The following is a 22,760-nucleotide window of genomic DNA, read 5'->3' as shown; positions in this document are numbered from 1 at the left end:
TCTTGCTCCACAGGGGGGAATCTATTAATCACAAGGGGAAGTAGAGCTAGAGAGCTCTTACTAGCTCAGTTACCAACACGTAAATGAAGGCTCAAAATTAAAGCAACTATCTTCTGTGTCATCCCAACAGCAGCTTTCTGATACCAGCTGGAGTCTTACAGTTCAATTCCCTTCAGACAGTAACTACCCAGAGCTAGCACAGACCCCACAGGTTGAAGGGCTGAGTCCCACAAGACCACCCCTACTTCACATGCCAGCTCTCAATCCCAAATGCCCCCAAGCCCTCTGCACTTCTGCCCAGCTGGTGACAAATTTGGAAGTTTTCATGAAATTACGCCGTCAGGTTTGATAATTTGCTACAACAGCTCACAGAAGTCAAGAAACAACTGTAGTTATGATAACAGTTTTATTATAAAGGGTACAACTCAGGGAAAGCCAAGTGGAAGAGACGCAAAGGGTAAGATACGAGGCTGAGGGAGAGGCTCAGCACTTCCATGCCCTCTCCAGGTGTGCCAGCCTTGCAAACACATGTGGTCACCAAGAGGGACATTCTACAAGCCTTAGTTTTCTGAATTTTTATTGAGGTTTCATAATGTAAATGTGATTTTTGAAGTGACTGGCCATATGATGGAACTCAATTTCCAGTTTGTCTTTCATCCCCATCGACTAGAGGATAGGGTTGATAGTTCCCACTCTCTAAACATGTTTGGACTTTCTGTGACTAGCACTCATCCTGAAGCAATTGAGGGAGCCTTGCCATGAGTCATCTCATCAGCATAAATGCAGGTATGGTCTAAGTGTCTCATTGTAAATCACAAAAGATATTCCTACTGCTGAGGAAATTCCAAAGGAGTTAGGAGCTCTGTGCCAGGAACACTGGGACAAAGACCAAATATATATTTTTATTACACTACATCTTTCAATTGTATTTTAAATATATACTGTTGTCAGAGAGGGCTATTTGTCTTATTGGCTAATCTGTAGCTTTGTGCAAAGACATATTTACTATCTGGGTCTGGATTGTGATACGTAAGAATATTAGAAAGGATTATGTATGTAGTTTGCATTTCTTGTATTAAAAATGATGAGAAACAAGATGGCTTTATAGATCTTGTAACTGCCTAAATGCTATTATGTTATGTAAGGGAGAATAGATTTATATAGTATAGGACCTTGTTAGGAATATTAGGCTGTGGTAATAAGTAACATCCAAATGGCACTTCAGTTTATAATGTACTTTCATGAGCATCATAATCAACTGCTAACATTTATTGAACACATCCTTGGGTCAGATTCTGTACGAAGTGTTTATATGCATAATAACTCGAGCTTCTATGCTTCATAACTCTATTAGGTAGGCACCATTACTATCCCGATTTTGCTAATGAGGAAACCAATGTGCATACCAGGTTAAAAAACTTGTTCAAGGTCACAAATTAGCATCACAACTTGAACCTTCGTTGATTTGACCCAGAGCTGTAAACCATAGTTGCAATGCCTATACTATAACCAGAAAGTAGAAAGCAGAGGAGTGAATCCCAAACTAATAGCAAGAGTAGATTCTAGTCTTTGTTACAGAGACTTTCTATTTGACCTTGAGTTTCTGAACCTCTGATTTCTCTTTTCACTTTGTTGGGCCGGGCACAGGTTGAGGTAGATGCTCTCTGGCACTTTGAGTTTGTCATTGGTGATCTGATGCCTGAGTTTGGCTTCTGCTCTGGTTTTGGGGGTGATAGGGTAGCAGCATTGTTGTCTGGGTTAAATACTCGGGATTTATTGTCTCACAACCATGGAAAACTAGAATGCAGACACACAAGAGTGAGGTTCAGAGCAGAAATGTAATAGGCAAAAGAAAGAGAAAAGCTCTCTTGCTACAGAAAGGGGTCTCAGAGAAAATGGGTTGCCACTTCCGCAGTGAAGTGTAGAAGGTTTTATAGGTGAGCTTGAGGAGACGGTGTCTGATTTATATAGAGCATGAAAGATTGGTCGGACCAGGTGTGTCATTTGCATAGTGCGTGAAAATCTGGCCACCCCCACTCTAATCTTTTATCATGCAGATGGGTTCTCTACCTAGCGAGCTCCATGTTGCCTGTTTCTTACTGTACATGTGGTGACAAAGAAAAGAGAAGATGGAGTCTCCATGTTGAACATGCCTGTCTTCCAGGTAGCCCTTTTCTATTGGCACAGCTGCCGGCATTCCCCCATGCAAGCTTTCAGCTTGCTTTTCTATGTCTGTAGCTTGATTTTTCAGGCTGCTCTTTGTTAGAAAAGAAATGATTTTGGGGCTGCCTTTTGTTAAAAGGGAAATTCCACTGAGGAGTCTGTTGTCCTCCCTATCTGCCTCAATAATTTCTTTTTAGCTCCTGTATCAGTAACAGTTTATAAGTCTGAGAACTTGGAGGGTGAGGGGTAGGTTCCCTGAGAAACTCTAGAACCAGTACCCTATCTCCCTTAATGCCATAATTTCTAGTCCCAACATACTCTGCGCCAATATTTTTATTTTCTCTGCTTCTCTCTGAATACAGATGAAGACCATTTCATAGAGCCATATAGGCAATGTAAATGCACATTTCAAAATAAAGAGAGTCCTCGGACAAGACCTTCTAAACCCATAGACTCAATATCAGTTTTGATTTTTCACTGATGGTTGACATCTAGGGCATTTGGGCTTCTGTTTTTCCCTCCTGCTCATACAGAGCACTGGACTAGTTCACATAGATCTTAGGTTTTACTTTCTTGCTCTCTTTTACCAAGAGGCTTGATCTTGGGCAAGTAGCTTAGCTAATTTTAACCTCAATTTCTTCATGTGTCAAATGATAATAACATCAACCTCAAGGGATTACCAGGAGGATAAAATGAAAGAGCCTGCTAAAATAAATGATGACTTAAATCTGGCTTGACCCTTTTCAGAATGATGCTTTACAACCTCCTTCCCCCATTCTCCTAAGCCCATAAGCGGGAATATGCAGGGGGTCTTGGGCAGCCTGCTGGACTGAGGGGGCCCTGTGCTTGCTCCTGCCTCTTTTATTTCCAAACCTTCCCACACACATCTCTGCAGAATCCTATTTATAGATGGAAAGGAATATTCTTGAGAGTAGGTAGATAATTCCTCCTCTTCGGTTCAGAAGCAGACTTATTTCCGTTGTGGAAAGCTTTCCCCAGTGCCTTAAATGGCCTTGGGATTAAGAAGAAGCTCTCAGGGGCCCTGATGAAATATGACCCTGAATCGCCCATCCTTATGGTGGATGTGACCTCTAAGGAGAGCCTCAGGGACAGTACATGAACCTATGTGGACTTCTAGGACTCCAACACCCTCACAGGGAACTTTTTACCACAGCAGATAAGAGAAAGCCCAGATCCCCTTACTAAAGAAGGACCGATGCCTCTCCATAAGGCAGCGTGGTCTATCAAGTATTTGAACTCTGACAGACTCCCTGGATTCAAGTCCTGGCACTGCACTTGGGCCACTTACTTCACTTCCCTGTGCCTCAGTTTCTCATCTGTATGATGCTGATAATGGTAGCTCCCTCATAGAGTGCCAATGAAAATGTCTGACATGTATTAAACAACGTGTGTTTTTGCTACTAAATATTTACACTAACTTAAAGAAGGTAACCTATTTCCCTATTACTCTTGATACTTCAATAATAGTAACATTATCAAGAGTCAGAAAATTACAGCAAAGTGGAGTTTGTACAAGCTTTATTTGAGTTTCTCAAAGATGTTATAAAAGATGATTCTGGATGATATGAGCATAGACTTTGTTTTTCTTAATTTTGAATTTACTGTACATGGAAAAATAATATATCTAGTCCATGAGTTCATGGGTTTGCTCTGGACGAGGCCAAAGACTGGTGATGGGAATATAAGGCCCAATTCGAGTGAGGAACCGGAAGAGTTTCCTTTGGAGAATTTCAGGTTGTGAGATGTTCTTGATGGGAATTTATGGCTCTGTAAGTGCTTAGAAATCCTGTCATGCAAGATGCATCAGAGCCATGAATTTTCATTGACTTGTAATGAGATTACAGAGTTTGAAAAGTACTTTGAGAAGAAAAATGCCATCTTTATAGCTTAATATTAATCTTAGTTTTTGTTTCTGTTTTTTTTTTTTTTTTCCTTTGGGCAGTGTTTCAATGACACTAAACAGATTCTTTTCCCGAGACTAGTTCTCAATTTGCTTAACGGTGAAAACACCTAAGTAGAATCCCCTTCATTGTTGATAAAATCCTATTTCTGAGGATAAACTGTCATTTCAAAGGGAAAAATAATGCAGGCATGATTGACTGAAGGACACAGAACAGCTTGGTGCAGTGTCAGCCACATTCACTACTTGCTTTCTACCCATTTCCCGGAGGATGGCCCACCGGTGGGCTTGCTGTGATGTGCTGGAGGAAGAGCTGCCAAGAAAATTCATCGGTTGTCTGTTCTGGGGGCTGTGATATAAATATGGAGAGCATGAGGTTGACAGGAGACCTAAGTTCTCTTTCCAGTTCTGTCCCTTTCTAACTGTCTGACCTTGGGAGAGCCACTCAAATCTCCTAGGTGTCCATGCATAAGTAGGAGGTAGAGCTAGCACAGAGTTCAGAGGCATCCACATGTTGGGTCTTGGATGGTAGAGTTTTTTTTTTTTTTTTTTTTCCCTGTGCGGTGCTTCAGATAAGATGAAATGTCACATGAGACATCTGGAAGCTTTGCCTCTGTTTGAAACTTGGAAGATCCTATGACCTTGGTCCTACTCAGCAAAACCCCACTAGTGCTGAGTAGCTGTTGCTCACTTTAGATACCGTATCCTTGGTCACCACCATTCCCGTTGACTCACATAATTCAGGTGCCACATCAACTTGGCCTCCTTGGTCATGTGTGTTTGTGACTTCCAGAACTCTTTTTTGATTGATCAAATGTCTTTGTTTCTACCTTCCTGGTTGCTTCAAGAATAGACTGAGTTTGCCAGATAAGAAGTTTCTGGATAAATAAAACACTTGTATTAACTTTTCACAATTTTTCCATATACATAATACTGGTCTTCATAACTACGCCTATTTAAGATAAATTCAATTAGGTTTAGTATACTTTAAAAAAATCTGTAATTTTTATGATGTTGGAGTTTCCGCTTTAAAATGATTGTTTTGATATAACTTTGAAATAAGATCCAAGTTTCTTTTATTTTCTTAAATTATCAAAGGAATCAGAAATAACTTACAGAAAATGGTGGGGCGGGGGTTGGGGGAAGCGCTGGAGCTCACTGTTATTTGCTAATGTATTGCATTCCTGCTCTCTGTCTTCAGGGAGCCTAGGAAAATATAATTGTTGGGAAAAAAGAGCATCAGGTAGGAGAAAAACCTAACAGATTAAGAAAAATAAAATGAGAAGCACTGATTTAGTAATAGGATATTATAACAATATTACTATATAACATCTGTGCTTCTCATTTTATATAATTATATGCTGTATATTTTATATAGTTATAGATAATAGAGGGTTATTTTTAATCTTAATTGTAACAGGAAGCAAATATGGCATCTACCATGATTTTAACTCATTTCAAGGTTCTGAAATTTGAGCAATATACTATGTTATATAATTTTCTTTCAGAAATATCTTTAACTGTTTTAGAATTTAGAAGAAGAGAGTTTAATATTTGCCAAACTCCATATGTGGTACAAATTTGTCTCAACTTCATATTTGACTTTAGTAACCCAATACAACGCTCTTGGAGTCAGTACTGCTGGGTGGAGAAAATCACTGGAGTGGGTGTCAGATTAGACCTATTAAAACCCTAGCTGTACATACATGCTAGGGTCACAGAGACAGTTCTTAAGGTGCATTGAGCCTCAGTCTCCTCCTTTGTAAAAAGGGATAATATTGGGACTTACAAAGAAAGTTATGAAAACCAAATAAAACAATTCCCCTAAATCACTTAGCATAGTGTCTAGCATTAAAAAAAAAATCACCATAGATGTTTTTAGTTTGGGCCCAGAAAATAATTATTAGGACTTGTATACTACTTCAATCCTCACAAGTTTTAAGAAATCATCTTGTTCTATTTAAATATATACTTTGACTATTTTTAAGCAACAAATGATATCTGTTCATGATTAGTGCTTTTTCCCACCAGCAGTGCATCATCAAAATTTGTGAGCAGATGTAGGTTACATTTATCCTCACACCTGAACTAGGTTTTATTTAATACCCCCCACCTATTGTAGAAGTGAAATATTTTGCAGACACCCACTGCCAAATAACAGGTGCTGAGCTGCCTGATCCCACCTAGCTGTTATAATATCCAAGTGGCAAGGTCAGGAACGAGAGGCAGGCAGGATGCTTCTTCTGTTGAGGTTGTTGGTGAGATTGCCTCTTATACTGGGGAGCCCTTAGGCAGTGGTGTGATATTGTGTAGGCAAAAGACCTGCTGGGCTGCGTCTTCCACCGGCCATCTGGTTGTTATGGTGCCTTATTATTTGGCATAATCCCAGTCTTCTGGATTGTTGGGAAGAATTAAGCGCAGGAAGATCAGTATGCTATAGGTATGCAAATTGCTAACATCCTAAATCCAAAAAATGAGATGTCCTTTAAGAAATGAAAATTTAGCATGATGTTGCTCTTCAGGCTTACAAAGAGCACTTAGAAGTAAAGCTTGCAGAGAAAACTCAGAAAACAGCAAAGCCCATAAAATTCACTCTAGTGCAAATCAACGCTTTTAACTTCAGCCTTTTAAGTTACTCCTTCGTTTCTTATACAATTGGATTCCTAACTTGCTTAAAGAAGAAGAAAAAAGCGACAGTGAAACATCTATAGAGGCAAAGGGAACCATTCCCTCTTGGTTTTCATTCAAAGGAAGGCCACATATTTAAATATTTCCTGTTTTGGTAGAATTATTGAAGGTATTTCTTTATATTTTATTTGTTCGTTCTTTTGTTTTAACCTTTCTTTATGCTTTGTTTTAATTGTACTTATTATAGGTATCCTATAGCTAGCTATTATTCCATCCTTAACAAAAGGATGCAATAAAATGGCTAGTCAACATGATAGTGATTTTTTGTTCATATGTTTATTTTTGCATTTTTCAAACTTTGCATTCATAAGATTGATTAGTACTTTTTATTATCTACTAATATGGAATTTTAACTAGAGTGTATATTTTGCTAATGCTTTTATATTTTAAGTCATATTTAACCTGCTTAAAAACTTTTTCCAAGTTTTTATTTTGAAAATTTGTTAGACATATAGTATAGTTGAAAGAATTTATAATGCACATCTGTATATTCTCTACCTAGATTCTACAATTAACTTTTTATTGTACTTGCTCTATCAATGAATATATTCTCTTATGAAAGTTTATTTGCTACTGTTTGCAATGGTGCTTAAACATTTTTCCAACTAAAAGAAAAAGTGCATTCAGGCTTTTATAATTTCTACCCAAAAAGCGGTGGTTGGGTCACTGGCAAGATGGCTGAATAGGAACAGATCTGGTCTGCAGCTCCCAGCAAGATCAATGCAGAAGGCGGGTGACTTCTGCATTTCCAACTGAGGTATCTGGCTCATCTCATTGGGACTGGTTAGACAGTGGGGGCAGCCCACGGAGGGTGAGCTGAAGCAGGGTGGGGTGTCACCTCACCTGGGAAGTGCAAGGGGTCAGGGAACTCCCTCCCCCAGCCAAAGGAAGTCATGAGGGACTGTGCCATGAGGAATGGTGCATTCCAGCCCAGATACTATGCTTTTCCCACAGTCTTCACAACCTGCAGACCAGAAGATTCCCTCAGATGCCTATGCCACCAGGGCCCTGGGTTTCAAGTGCAAAACTGGGCAGCTGTTTGGGCAAACACAGAGCTAGCTGCAGGAGGTTTTTTTCATACCCCAGTGGCACCGGGGATGCCAGCTAGACAGAATCGTTTACTCCCCTGAGATGGGGGCTGAAGCCAGGGAGCCAAGTGGTCTAGCTCAGTGGATCCCATCCCCACGAAGCCCAACAAGCTCAGATCCACTGGCTTGGAATTCTCATGGCCAGCACAGCAATCTGAAGTTGACCTGGGATGCTGGAGCTTGGTGGGGGCAAGGGGCATCCGCCATTACTGAGGCTTGAGTAGGCAGTTTTCCCTTCACAGTGTAAACAAAGCCCCCAGGGAAGTTCAAACTGGGTGGAGCCCACAACAGCTTGGCAAAGCCACTGTCGCCAGACTGCCTCTCTAGATTCCTTCTCTCTGAAACAAAGGCAGTAGCCACAGTCAGGGGCTTATAGATAAAACTCCCATCTCCCTGGGACAGAGCACTTGGGGGAAGGGGCAGCTGTGGGCACAGCTTCAGCAGACTGAAACGTTCCTGCCAGCTGGCTCTGAAGAGAGCAGCAGATTTTTCAGCACAGCATTTGAGCTCTACTAAGGGACAGACTGCCTCGTCAAGTTGGTCACTGACCCTTGTGCCTCCTGACTGGGAGACACCTCCCAGCAGGAGTCAACAGATACTTCATACAGGAAAGTTTCAGCTGGCATCTGGTGAGTGCCCCTCTGGGATAAAGCTTCCAGAGGAAGGAACAGGCAGCAATCTTTGCTGTTCTGCAGCCTCCATTGGTGATACCCAGGTAAACAGGGTCTGGAGTGGACCTCCAGCAATCTCCAGCAGACCTGAGGCAGAGGGGGCCTGACTGTTAGAAAGAAAAATAACAAACAGCAAGGAATAGCATCAGTGTGAACAAAAAGGACATCCACAGAAGAACTCCATCCCAAGGTCACCAACATCAAAGACCAAAGGTAGATCAATCCACAAAGATTGAGGAAAAACCAGCATAAAAAGACTGAAAATTCCAAAAACACAGAACTTCTCTTTTACTTCAAAGGATCACAACTCCTTGCCAGCAAGGGAACAAAACTGGATGGAGAATAAGTTTGATGAATTGACAGAAGTAGGCTTCAGAGTGGGTAATGACAAATTTCTCCGAGCTAAAGGAACATGTTCTAACCTAATGCAAGGAAGCTAAGATCATTGGAAAAAGGTTAGACAAATTTCTAACTAGAATAACCAGTTTAGAGAAGAAAACAAATGAGCTGACGGAGCTGAAAAACACAGCACAAGAACTTTGCGAAGCATACACAAGTATCAATAGCTGAATCGATTATGTGGAAGAAAGGATATCAGAGATTGAAGATCAACTTAATGAAATAAAGCAAGATGACAAGATTAGAGAAAAAAAGAATGAAAAAGAATGAACAAAGCCTCCAAGAAATATGGGACTTTGTGAAAAGACCAAATCTACATCTGATTGGTGTACCTGAAAGTGACGGGGAGAATGGAACAAAGTTGGAAAACACTCTGCAGGATATTGTCCAGGAGAACTTCCCCAATCTAGCAAGGCAGGCCAACATTCAAATTTAGGAAATACACAGAACACCACAAAGAGATACTCCTCAAGAAGAGCAACCCCAAGACACATAATTGTCAGATTCACCAAGGTTGAGATGAAGAAAAAAATGTTAAGAGTAGCCAGAGAGAAAGGTCAGGTTACCCACAAAAGGAAGCCCATCAGACTAACTGTGGATCTCTGCAGAAACCCTACAAGCCAGAAGAGAGAGGGGGACAATATTCAATATTCTTAAAAGAACTTTCTACTCAGAATTTCATATTTAGCCAAACTAAGCTTCTTAAGTGAAGGAGAAATGAAATTCTTTACAGACAAGCAAATGCTGAGAGATTTTGTCACCACCAGGCCTGCCTTAGAAGAGCTCCTGAAGGAAGCACTAAATATGGAAAGGAACAACTGGTACCAGCCACTGCAAAAACATATTAGATTGTAAAGACCATCGACACTATGAAGAAACTGCATCAACTAGCAGGCAAAATAACCAGCTATCCTCATAATGATAGGATCATATTCACACATAACAATACTTACCTTAAATGTAAATGGGCTAAATGCCCCAATTAAAAGACACAGACTGGCAAAGAAGGGTCTTGATAAAGAGTCAAGACCCATCAGTGTGCTGTATTCAGGAAACCTATCTCATGCAAAGACACACATAGGCTCAAACTAAAGGGATGGAGGAATACTTACAAAGCAAACGGAAAGCAAAAAAAAAAAAAAAAAAAAAAACAGGGGTTGCAATCCTAGTCTCTGATAAAACAGACTTTAAACCAACAAAGATCAAAAAAGACAAAGAAGAGCATTACATAATGGTAAAGGGATCAATTCAAGAAGAGCTAATTATCCTAAATGTATATGTACCCAATACAGGAGCACCCAGATTCATAAAGCAGGTTCTTAGAGACCTACAAAAAGACTTAGACTCCCACACAATAATAGTGGGAGATTTAACACGCCACTGTCAATATTAGATCAACAAGACAGAAAATTAATAAGGATATTCAGGACTTGAATTCAGCTCTGGACCAAGCAGACATCTACAAAACTCTCCACCCCAAATCAACAGAATATACATTCTTCTCAGCACCACATCACACTTATTCTAAAATTGACCACATAATTGGAAGTAAAACACTCCTCAGAAAATGCAAAAGAACGGAAATCATAACAGTTTCTCAGACCACAGTGCAATCAAATTAGAACTCAGGATTAAGAAACTCACTCAAAACTGCACAACTACATGGAAACTGAACAACCGGCTCCTCAGTGACTACTGGGTAAATAACAAAATTAAGGCAGGAATAAATAGGTCCTTTGAAACAGTGAGAATGAAGACACAATGTAGCAGAATCTCTGAGACACAGCTAAAGTAGTGTTCAGAGGGAATTTTTTTTTTTTTGAGGCAGAGCCTCACTCTGTCATCCAGACTGGAGTGCAGTTGTGCAATCGCAGCTCACTGCAACCTCTGCCTCCCAGATTCAAGTGATTCTCCTGCCTCAGCCTCCTAAGTAGCTGGGACTAATAGGCACCCACCAACACACCCGGCTAATGTTTTGTATTTTTAGTAGAGACGGGGTTTCACAGTGTTAGCCAGAATGGTCTCGATCTCCTGACCTCGTTATCCGCCTGCTTAGGCCTTCCAAAGTGCTGGGATTACAGGCGTGAGCCACCGTGCCCATCCTAGAGGAAAATTTACAGCACTAAATGCCCACAGGAGAAAGCGGGAAAGATCTAGAATCGACACCCTCACATCAAAATTAAAAGAACTAGAGAAGTAAGAGCAAACAAATTCAGAAGCTAGCAGAAGACAAGAAATAACTAAGAGCAGAACTGAAGGAGATAGAGACACGAAAAGCCCTTAAAAAAAATCAATGAATCCAGGAGCTGGTTTTTTTTTAAAAGATCAACAAAATAGACTGCCAGCCAGAAAAACAAAGAAGAAAAGAGAGAAGAATCAAATAGACACAATAAAAAATGATGAAGGGGATATCGCCACTGATCCCCCAGAAATACAAACTGCCATCAGAGAATACTATAAACATCTCTACACAAATAAGCTAGAAAATCTAGAAGAAATGGATAAATTCCTGGACACATACACCCTCCCAAGACTAAACCAGGAAGAAGTTGAATACCTGAATAGACCAATAATAAGTTCTGAAATTGAGGCAGTAATTTTTTGGTTGGCCTACCAGCCAAAAAAAGCCCAGGACCGGACGGATTCACAGCTGAATTGTATGAAAGGTACAAAGAAGAGCTTGTAACATTCCTTCTGAAACTATTCCAAACAATAGAAAAAAAGGTATTCCTCCTTAACTCATTTTATGAGGCCAGCATCATCCTGATACCAAAACCTGGCAGAGATACAACCAAAACAGAAAATTTCAGGCCAATATCCCTGAGGAATATCAATGCGAAAATCCTCAATAAAATACTGGCAAACCAAATGCAGCAGCACATCAAAAAGCTTATTCACCACAATTAAGTCGGCTTCATCCCTGGGATGCAAGGCTGGTTTAACATATGCAAATCAATAAACGTAATCCATCACATAAACAGGACCAACAAATAAAACCACATGAATATCTCAATAGATGCAGAATAGGCCTTTGATAAAATTCACCCCTTCATGCTAAAAACTCTCAATAAACTAGGTATTGATGGAATGTATCTCAAAATAATAGCTATTTATGACAGACCCACAGCCAATATACTGAATGGACAAAAGCTGGAAGCATTCCCTTTGAAAACTGGCACAAGACAAGGATGCCCTCTCTCCCCACTCCTACTCAACATAGTGTTGGAAGTTCTGGCCAGGGCAATCAGGCAAGAGAAAGAAATAAAGGGTATTCAAATGGAAGAGAGGAAGTCAAATTGTCTCTGTTTCCAGATGACATGACTGTATTTTTAGAAAACTCCATCATCTCAGCCCAAAATATGCTTAAGCTGATAAGCAACTTCAGCAAAGTCTCAGGATGCAACATCAGTGTGCAAAAATCACAAGCATTCCTATACACCAATAGTAGACAAATGGAGAGCCAAATTATGAGTGGACTCCCATTCACAATTGCTACAAAGAGAATAAAATACCTAGGAATCCAACTTACAAGGGATGTGAAGGACCTCTTCAAGGAGAACTACAAACCACTTCTCAAGGAAATAAGAGAGGACACAAACAAATGGAAAAACATTCCATACTCATGGATAGGAAGAATCAATATCATGAAAATGGCCATACTGCCTAAAGTAATTGATAGATTCAATGCTATCCCCATCAAGCTACCATTGACTTCCTTCACAGAATTGGAAAAAACTGCTTTAAATTTCATCTGGAACCAAAAACAAGCCCGTATAGACATGACAATCCTAAGCAAAAAGAACAAAGCTTGAGGCATCACGCTACCTGTCTTCAAACTATACTACAAGGCTACAGTAACCAAAACAGCATGATACTGGTATCAAAACAGAGGTAGAGACCAATGGAACAGAACAGAGGCCTCAGAAATAACACTACACATCTACAACCATCTGATCTTTGACAAACCTGACAAAAGCAAATGGGGAAAGGATACCCTATTTAATAAATGGTGTTGGTAAAACTGGCTAGCCATAGGCAGAAAACTGAAACTGGATCCCTTCCTTTACCTTATACAAAAATTAACTCAAAACGGATTAAAGACTTAAACATAAGACCTAAAACCATAAAAACCCTAGAAGAAAACCTAGGCAATACCATTCAGGATATAGGCATGGGCAAAGACTTCATGTCCAAAACACCAAAAGCAATGGTAACAAAAGCCAAATTGACAAATTAGTTCAACCATTGTGGAAGACAGTGTGGTGATTCCTCAAGGATCTAGAGCCAGAAATACCATTTGACCCAGCAATTCCATTACAGGGTATAACCAAAGGATTATAAATCATTCTACTGTAAAGACACATGCACACTTATGTTTATTGTGGCACTATACTTAGCGAAAATGTATTGTACTTGGGTGGATATTTAGCTTGATTCTATATCTTTGCTTTTGTGAATAGTGCTGTAATAAACATGCAAGTACAGGTATTCCTTTGATACATTGATGATTTGATTCCCTTTGGGTATATTCCCAGTAGCGAGATTGCTGAATCAAATGCTAATTCTGTTTTTAGGATTTTTAAGAAATCTTCATACTGTTTTCCATAGTGGCTATATGAGTTTACATTCCCACCAAGAGTTCCCTTTTCTCCACATTTTCGCCAACATCTGTTATTTTGTCTTTTTAATAATAGTCACTCTGAATAGTGTTCAGTGGTTTTGATTGGCATTTCTCTGATTAATGATGTATTGCACATTTTTTATGCACCACTTTTAAATGTTTTTTTTTTCCTGGTGAGTTGACTTCCTTGTGTATTCTGAATATTAGTCCCTGTCTAATAAATAGTTTGCAAACGTTTTCTCTCATTCAACAGGTTGTTACTTTACTCTGTTATTTCTTTAGCTGTGCAGAAGCTTTTTAGTTTTATTCCAATTTGCCTACTTTGGTTTTAGTTGTCTGTGCATTTGAGGTCTTAGTCATAAATTATTTATCTAGGCTAATGTCCAGGAGAGTTTTTTCCCTAAGTTTTCTTCTAGTATTTTTATAGTTTCAGGTCTTACATTTAACTGGTCAATCCGTTTTGAGGTGATCTTTGTATATGGTAAGAAATAGTGGTTCAGTTTCATTCTTCTGTATGTGGCTGTCCAACTGTCACAGCATCATTTATTGAATAGTTTCCTTTCCCCAATTGCCAAAGTATAAATTCTTGTCAGCTTTGTCAAATACTAGTTGACTAAATATATGGCTTTATTTCTGGCTTCTCTATTCAGTTCCATTGGTCTATGCATCTATTTTTATACCAATAACATGCATTTTGGTTACTCCAGCCTTATAATATATTTCAAAGTCAGATAGTTTGATGTCTCTAGTTCAGTTCATTTTCTTCAGGCTTGCTTTGGCAATTTGGGCTCTTTTTAGTGCCATATGAATTTTAGGATTGATTTTTCTAGTTCTGTAAAGAATGAGATTGGCATTTTCATAGGGATTGCATTGAATCTGTAGATTGATTTGGGCAATATGGTGGTTTTAACAATATTAAATTCTTCTGATGCATGAGTGTAAGATGTTTTTCCATTTGTTTACTTTATCTTCCATTTCTTTCATCAGTGCTTTATACTATTCCTTGTAGGGATCTCTCACCTCCTTTGTTAAATTCATTTAGAGGTATTTTGTTTTTTGTCACTATTGTAAATGAAATGGCCTTCTTAGCTCCTTTCTTGGCTAGGTTACTATTGTATAGAAGCACTACTGATTTTTGTGCATTGATTTTGTATACTGCAACATTACCAGATATATCAAATCTGAGAGGTTTTTGGGGGAGTTATTAGGTTTTTCAAGATGTAAGATTATATCATCAGAAAAGAGATAATTTTATTTCATGTTTGCCAATGTGGATGCCTTTTCTTTCTCTTGTCTGATTGCTCTGTCTAGGACTTTCAGTACTATGTTAGATAGGAGGAGAGAAAGTGGACATCCTTGCCTTGTTCCAGTTCTTAGAGAAAAGGCTTTCAACTTTTTCAACATTTTTCAAATGTATTTTGTATTCTATGAATTCTTCAGTTCCAGAATTTCTGTTTGGTTCTTACAAAAAATCTATCTCTTTGATGAGTTTTTTTTTTTTTTTGGATTTTCCAGAATTATCTTGTAGCTTACTGAGCTTCTTAAAATCAATATTTTGAATTATTTGGGATTTTGAAGACTTCTTTTGATTAAGATCTATTGCTGGAGAATAATTGCATTTTTCTGGAGATGTCATATTTCTTTGCTTTTTCATGTTTCCTGTGTCCATATGTTGATATCAGTTCAACTGGTCTAACGGTTACTTCTTCCTAGTTTTGAATTTACTTTTGTAGTAGAGCACTTTCCTGAAGACATATCTTTGGTGTTGGTTGGGTAGGGAACTTTTTGATTCTCTGTGTGTGCAGTAGTGTAGCCTCTGTATGATTTATTTGGGTGTAAACAGTGTTCATGCTTTCTGTGAGTTTTTCTCACAAGGTTAGGGTGCAGTAATTGGTAGAGGCTATGGTGAAGCTACACTGGAGACTAGAGAGAAAAGCGGGCCAGTTATCAGCCCTCAGTGGCAGCAGCAGTTGGCTGAGCATGACTATCTTTGTTCCCTACATTGGTGAACACTGGCACTTGGATTGGCAGTTACTGGCAGGTGAATTATTGGGCCTCCACGTGGTTTGCTTATATGTGAGTAGTGGCAACAGTGGGCCAGGCAATTGAGCAGGTTCTTGGGTTTCTGAGCAGCCAGTGTGATGTAAGCAAGATCAGTAGCAGTGGTGGGAGGACCCTTTGAGTGATGTGGGTTGGTATTGGCAGTGGCTGTGGTGTGGGGTTGCAGTCACCACTCATAGCCCCAGACAGTTAGCCCACTGGCTCACCCATCCCAGCCTCTAGCAGCTGCAGGAGCTGGTGTGCACAGAGACAAGAGGGCGTTCCATTCTTTACTTAAGACCAAGCACAGAGGCTGCTCCGCTCATGGGAGGGGATTTCACTCTTTACATGCAAAGCCTAGAACAGAGCTTCTGCTGTTGGTGGTGGCAGGGTCACTTCTCATAGCTCCAGACAGGGAGCTCTTTAACTCTGCAAAGTGCATATCTTGGTTTCCTTTGTCCCAGAAGCTCACCTTGTTGGTGCACTGGACTATACCTTACTGAAGGATTATTACTCCCTGTGGGCTAGAGAAGCAGCCCCCAATCATTTTGGAACCAAGGACTGGACTGGTTTTAATGGAACACAGTTTTTTCACAGGCTGGGGGTGGAGTGGTTTGGGGATGAAACCATTCTACCTCGGATCATCAGGCATTTGCTGGATTCTCATAAGGAATATGCAACCTAGATGCCTTGCATGCACAATTCACAATAGGGTTTGTGCTCCTACGAGAATCTAATCTGACAGGAGGTGGAGCTCAAGCAGCAATGTGAGTGATGGGGAGTGGCTATAAATACAGACGACACTTTGTTCCCTTGCCTGTTATTCATCTCCTGCTGTGCAGTCCAGTTCCTAACAGGCCAGGATCTGGGCTATGCGGCCCAGTTCCTAACAGGCCAGTACCAGTCCACAGCCAGGAGTTTGGGGACAACTGTGCTAGAGAACTGGGGACCCTGTAGCAACTTTGGGTACGGCCAACACTATGCTGCTAAAGCCATCCCAGTAGATGCTGGGGAATGTCAGTGGGAACTCCCATTGTGTGGAGATACAGAGGCTGTGTTTCCCAGAACAAGATGTAGTCCAGTGACAGCAGTGCTCCTAAAATAGTGTCCTGCCACAGTTGCTCAGGTCTCAGGGTGGGGGTGAGTGGCTCAGGATAAGTTCCCTCTCTGATACAATCCTCTCATGGGGTCTCCAAATCACCACCCAAACTAGTGTCAGGGTTCACGTGGGTAGAGGAACTCTCCTGTGGTACAGTGCATAGCAGCGTATGGCAGAGATGTGGACCACCAAAGCGTTCTCACTTACGCTCTCCTTGCAATACTTTAGTATCTCTGGACTCCCAGGCTGAGCTGAATGCTCACTTTCTTTTTCTCTGCCTCAGGTATTTCCTGTAAGTTCTCTGTTATACTTTATTGTGCACTCCTAAATGTTCTATTTGAGGTATGACTGTCTATTTATAATTTTGATTCTTCTTTCTGGAGAAGGTATCTCATGTTTCTAGTCCGCCATCTTGGACCAGAATCCTCATGGTGCATTTCTTCAATGTTTTCCTGCATATCCTTGCTTACAGCACATCAAATTGTTTGATGTTTCCTGATGCCTTGTCTGTGTGTAACATTCAGTCAAACATTCTACTGATAATAAACTTAAAGACAGCAACTGCTACTAATGCTTACCAAATGCTTCTTTCAAACAAGCCTCTGTTCTCAGTGCTTTATTGTGTAAGGATTAAATGAATTAATATAACAACTATATATGGCAAGTGTGAATAATATTGTGCTACAGATGAAACAAGCACAGAATGATTAAGTCAATACCCTAGGGTCTTATAGCTAGAAGTGGTAACACCGGTATTCACACCCAGACAGCTGGACTTCAGGACATGTTTTAAGACTGGGGCCTCCATCTCACATGCAGAGACATACATAGGCTCAAAATAAAGGGATGGAGAAAGATCTACCAAGTGGAAAGCAAAAAACAAAGAAACAAACAAACAAAAAACAGGGGTTGCAATCCTAGTCTCTGATAAAACAGACTTTAAACCAAAAAAGATCAAAAGAGATAAAGAAGCCCATTACATAATGGTAAAGGGATCAATTCAACAAGAAGAGCTAACTATCCTAAATACATATGTACCCAATACAGGACCACCCAGATTCATAAAGCAAGTCCGTAGAGACCTACAAAGAGACTTAGACTCCCACATAATAACAGGAGATTTTAACACCCCACTGTCAATATTAGACAGATCAATGAGACAGAAGGTTAACAAGGATATCCAGGACTGGAACTCAGCTCTGCACCAAGCGGACCTAATAGATATCTACAGAATTCTCCACCCCAAATCAACAGAATATACATTCTTCTCAGCACCACATTGCTCTTATTCCAAAATTGACCACACAGTTGGAAGTAAAGCACTCCTCAACAAATGTGAAAGAACAGAAATCATAACAAACCGTCTCTCAGACCACAGTGCAATCAAATTAGAACTTAAGATTAAGAAACTCAATCAAAACAGCACAACTACATGGAAACTGAACAGCCTGCTCCAGAATGACTACTGGCTTAATAACAAAATGAAGGCAGAAATAAAGATGTTCTTTGAAACCAATGAGAACAAAGACACAATGTACCAGAATCTCTGGGACACATTTAAAGCAGTGTGTAGAGGGAAATTTATAGCACTAAATGCCCACAAGAGAAAGCAGGAAAGATCTAAAATCAACACCCTAACATCACAATTAAAAGAACTAGAGAAGCAAGAGCAAACATACTCAAAAGCTAGCAGAAGGCAAGAAATAACTAAGATCAAAGCAGAACTGAAGGAGATAGAGACACAAAAAACCCTTCAAAAAATCAATGAATCCAGGAACTGGTTTTTGAAAAGATCAACAAAATTGATAGACTGCTAGCAAGATTAATAAAGAAGAAAAGAGAGAAGAATCAAATAGATGCAATAAAAAATGATAAAGGGGATATCACCACTGATCCCAGAGAAATACAAACTACCATCAGAGAATACTATAAACACCTGTACATAAATAAACTAGAAAACCTAGAAGAAATGGATAAATTCCTGGACACATACACCCACCCAAGACTAAACCAGGAAGAAGTTGAATCACTAAATAGACCAATAACAGGCTCTGAAATTGAAGCAATAATTAATATCCTACCAACCAAAAAAAGTCCAGGACCAGATGGATTCACAGCCGAATTCTACCAGAGGTATAAAGAGGAGCTGGTACCATTCCTTCTGAAACTATTGCAATCAATAGAAAAAGAGGGAATCCTCCCTAACTCATTTTATGAGGCCAGCATCATCCTGACACCAAAGCCTGGCAGAGACACAACAACAAAAAAGAGAATTTCAGACCAATATCCCTGATGAACATCAATGCAAAAATCCTCAATAAAATACTGGCAAACCAAATGCAGCAGCACATCAAAAAGCTTATCCACCACAATCAAGTCAGCTTCATCCCTGGAATACAAGGCTGGTTCAACATGCATAAATCAATAAATGTAATGCATCACATAAACAGACCCAATGACAAAAATAATGTGATTATTTCAATAGATGCAGAAAAGGCCTTTGACAAAATTCAACAATCTTCATGCTAAAAACTCTCAATAAACTAGGTATTGATGGAATGTATCTCAAAATAATAAGAGCCATTTATGACAGACCCACAGCCAATATCATACTGAATGGGCAAAAACTGGAAGCATTCCCTTTGAAAACTGGCACAAGATAGGGATGCCCTCTCTCACCACTCCTGTTCAACATAGTGTTAGAAGTTCTGGCAAGTGCAATCAGGCAAGAGAAAGAAATAAAGGGTATTCAATTAGGAAAAGAGGAAATCAAATTGTCCCTGTTTACAGATGGCATGATGGTATATTTAGAAAACTCCATCAACTCAGCCCAAGATCTCCTTAAGCTGAAAGCAACTTCAGCAAAGTCTCAGGGTACAAAAATCAATGTGAAAAAATTACAAACATTCCTATACACCAATAATAGACAGAGACCCAAATCATGAGTGAAACCCCATTCACAATTGCTTCAAAAAGAATGAAATACCTAGGAATACAACTTACAGGGGATGTGAAGGACTTCTTCAAGGAGAACTACAAACCACTGCTCAACAAAATAAAAGAGGACAGAAACAAATGAAAGAACATTCCATGCTCATGGATAGGAAGAATCAATATCATGAAAGTGGCCATACTGCCCAAAGTAATTGATAGATTCAATGCCATCCCCATCAAGCTACCAGTGACTTTCTTGGGAAAAACTACTTTAAAGTTCATATGGAACTGAAAAGAGCCCACATTGCCAAGACAATACTAAGCAAAAAGAACAAAGCTGGAGGCATCATGCTACCTGACGTCAAACTGTACTACAAGGCTACAGTAGCCAAAACAGCATGGTACTAGTACCAAAACAGAGATATAGACCAATGGAACAGAACAGAGGCCTCAGAAATAACAGCACACATCTACAACCATCTGGTGTTTGACAAACCTGACAAAAACAAGCAATGGGGAAAGGATTCCCTATTTAATAAATGGTGCTTGGAAAACTGGCTAGCCATACATAGAAAGCTGAAACTGGATCCCTTCTTTATACCTTATACAAAATTAATTCAATATGGATTAAAGACTTAAGTTTTAGACATAAAACCATAAAAACCCTAGAAGAAAACATAGGCAATATCATTCAGGATATAGGCATGGGCAAGGCCTTCATGACTAAAACACCAAAAGCAATGGTAACAAAAACCAAAATTGACAAATGGGATCTAATTAAACTAAAGAGCTTCTGCACAGCAAAAGAAACTACCATCAGAGTGAACAGGCGACCTACAGAATGGGAGAAAATTTTTGCAATCTGCCCATCTGACAAAGGGTAATATCTGGAATCTACAAAGAACTTAAACAAATTTACAAGAAAAAATCAACCTCATGAAAAAGTAGGCAAAGGACGTGAACACTTTTCAAAAAAAGACATTTATGCAGCCAACAGACACATGAAAAAATGCTCATCATCACTGGTCATCAGAGAAATGCTAATCAAAACCACAGTGAGATACCATCTCACACCAGTTACAATGGCAATCATTAAAAAGTCAGGAAACAACAGGTGCTGGAGAGGATGTGGAGAAATAGGAAAGCTTTTACACTGTTGATGGGAGTGTAAACTAGTTCAACTATTTTGGAAGACAGTGTGGTGATTCCTCAAGGATCTAGAACTAGAAATACCATTTGACCCAGCCATCCCATTACTAGGTATATACCCAAAGGATTATAAATCATGTTACTGTAAAGACACATGCACACATATGTTTATTGTGGCACTATTCACAATAGCAAAGACTTGGAACCAACCCAAATGTCCAACAATGATAGACTGGATTAAGAAAATGTGGCACATATACACCATGGAATACTTTGCAGCCATAAAAAGATGAGTTCATGTCCTTTGTAGGGACATGGATGAAGCTGGAAACCATCATTCTCAGCAAACTATCACAAGGACAGAAAACCAAACACCGCATGTTCTCACTCATAATGGGAATTCAACAATGAGAACACTTGGACACAGGGCAGGGAACATCACATCACACACCGGGGCCGGTCGTGGAGTGGGGAAATTGGGGAGGGATAGCATTAGGAGAAATACCTAATGTAAATGACGAGTTAATGGGTGCAGCAAGCCAACACGGCACATGTATACATATGTAACAAACCTGCACGTTGTGCATATGTACCCTAAAACATAAAGTATAATTAAAAAAAAAAATAGGGCCTCAGCTACCTTATTGCCACTTCCTCAGTATCTAGCATGGCTCCAAGCACATAGTAGGAACTTGATTAATAGTTAATAAATGAGTGATGGTTTGGGGAAGAGTGTCCAAGTCATCAGAATTTACATACAAAAAAATTACTGCACACTATGCCTGGTACCTTCTTGTGTTACCAGGCTGCTAGGTAAAACATTCTTAAGCACCAGATACTATGGTTTCCTCTTGCTTCCTCCAAAAGCACATATTGTCCCATAGGAAACCGGGCAACTCTAATGGTGTGCTGGCACTCTTTTCCCTACCAAAATAATACTCTTATTGGAAAATCAATGAATCCAACTTTGATTTAATGAATCCTAAAAGGGATCCTCTTAGAAGGCTTTTGGATAGTACCTAGAGTCAATGGGAAGGTTTGCAAAACAGGCCATAACCAAGACATACTGGGAAAACAGATTATGCATTTGATCCCTCTAACTGACCAGTGTGTTCGTTCACTTAAATCTGCTGTTGCTGGCATCTTCTCTATTGACCTTTGTCCACCATAAGATACTCATGTGACTGAATCATCAAAAGATTTTTTAACCTCCTGTTGCCATTACCCTGAAAATCTTTATTGGAGATAAATATTTATGTCTATATGGATATTTATGTCTATCTCTATGATTTTTTAACATTCATTGTCTTGTTAAAGCACATATGATTGGCTACCATATTTCTCATGACTACCCTGCCCTAGTCCAACTCTCCCACATCCCACCTGCCACTGTTTTAAGATTCTCCAAATAAAGAAAAATAATCTGGATGCCTGATCATCCCACTCTATCCCCACCAAAATATGTAGGTGGAGACCATGCATTCTCTAACTTTGCAAAGAGAAAATGGTGAATTGAAAGAAATTTTACACTGCTACCAATTCTCAATTCTCCAGGTATTTGGTTTGGAACAGTCCATTCAGAGTGACATGGTCTTGTACTGTAATAAATGCTCCTGTCATTATTACTTGTATATTAAATAGCTCTTATGTGTTAGACATGACTCTAGATGCTTGGTGGAAAGGAAAGATGGTGTCCCTGTTTCCATGGAGTTTATATCGACCAATGGACAATAAAGTTCACTGTTAACTTCATTAGCCATCAGAAATCAAACAGGCTTATTAGAGAGCAGTTAAACCTCTCTCAGTGGAATGTAGAAGGTTCTGAAATTCAGAAGACTGGTTTAACAAAATACAATTCATTATTTTTTGTTTAAAAAGATCAAGAGAGAAAGTTATTAGATTTAGTCAAAGACTCTAGAAGCTCATTTTTGGCTAGTTTGCCTTGAGGGAAGTAGCTCACTATCTTCTTAGCAGGCTAAAAGCCATC

The sequence above is a fragment of the Homo sapiens genome, chromosome 3 (assembly GCF_000001405.40).
Source record: "Homo sapiens chromosome 3, GRCh38.p14 Primary Assembly".
NCBI classification, from domain to species: domain Eukaryota; kingdom Metazoa; phylum Chordata; class Mammalia; order Primates; family Hominidae; genus Homo; species Homo sapiens.
This window is presented reverse-complemented; position numbering follows the sequence as displayed.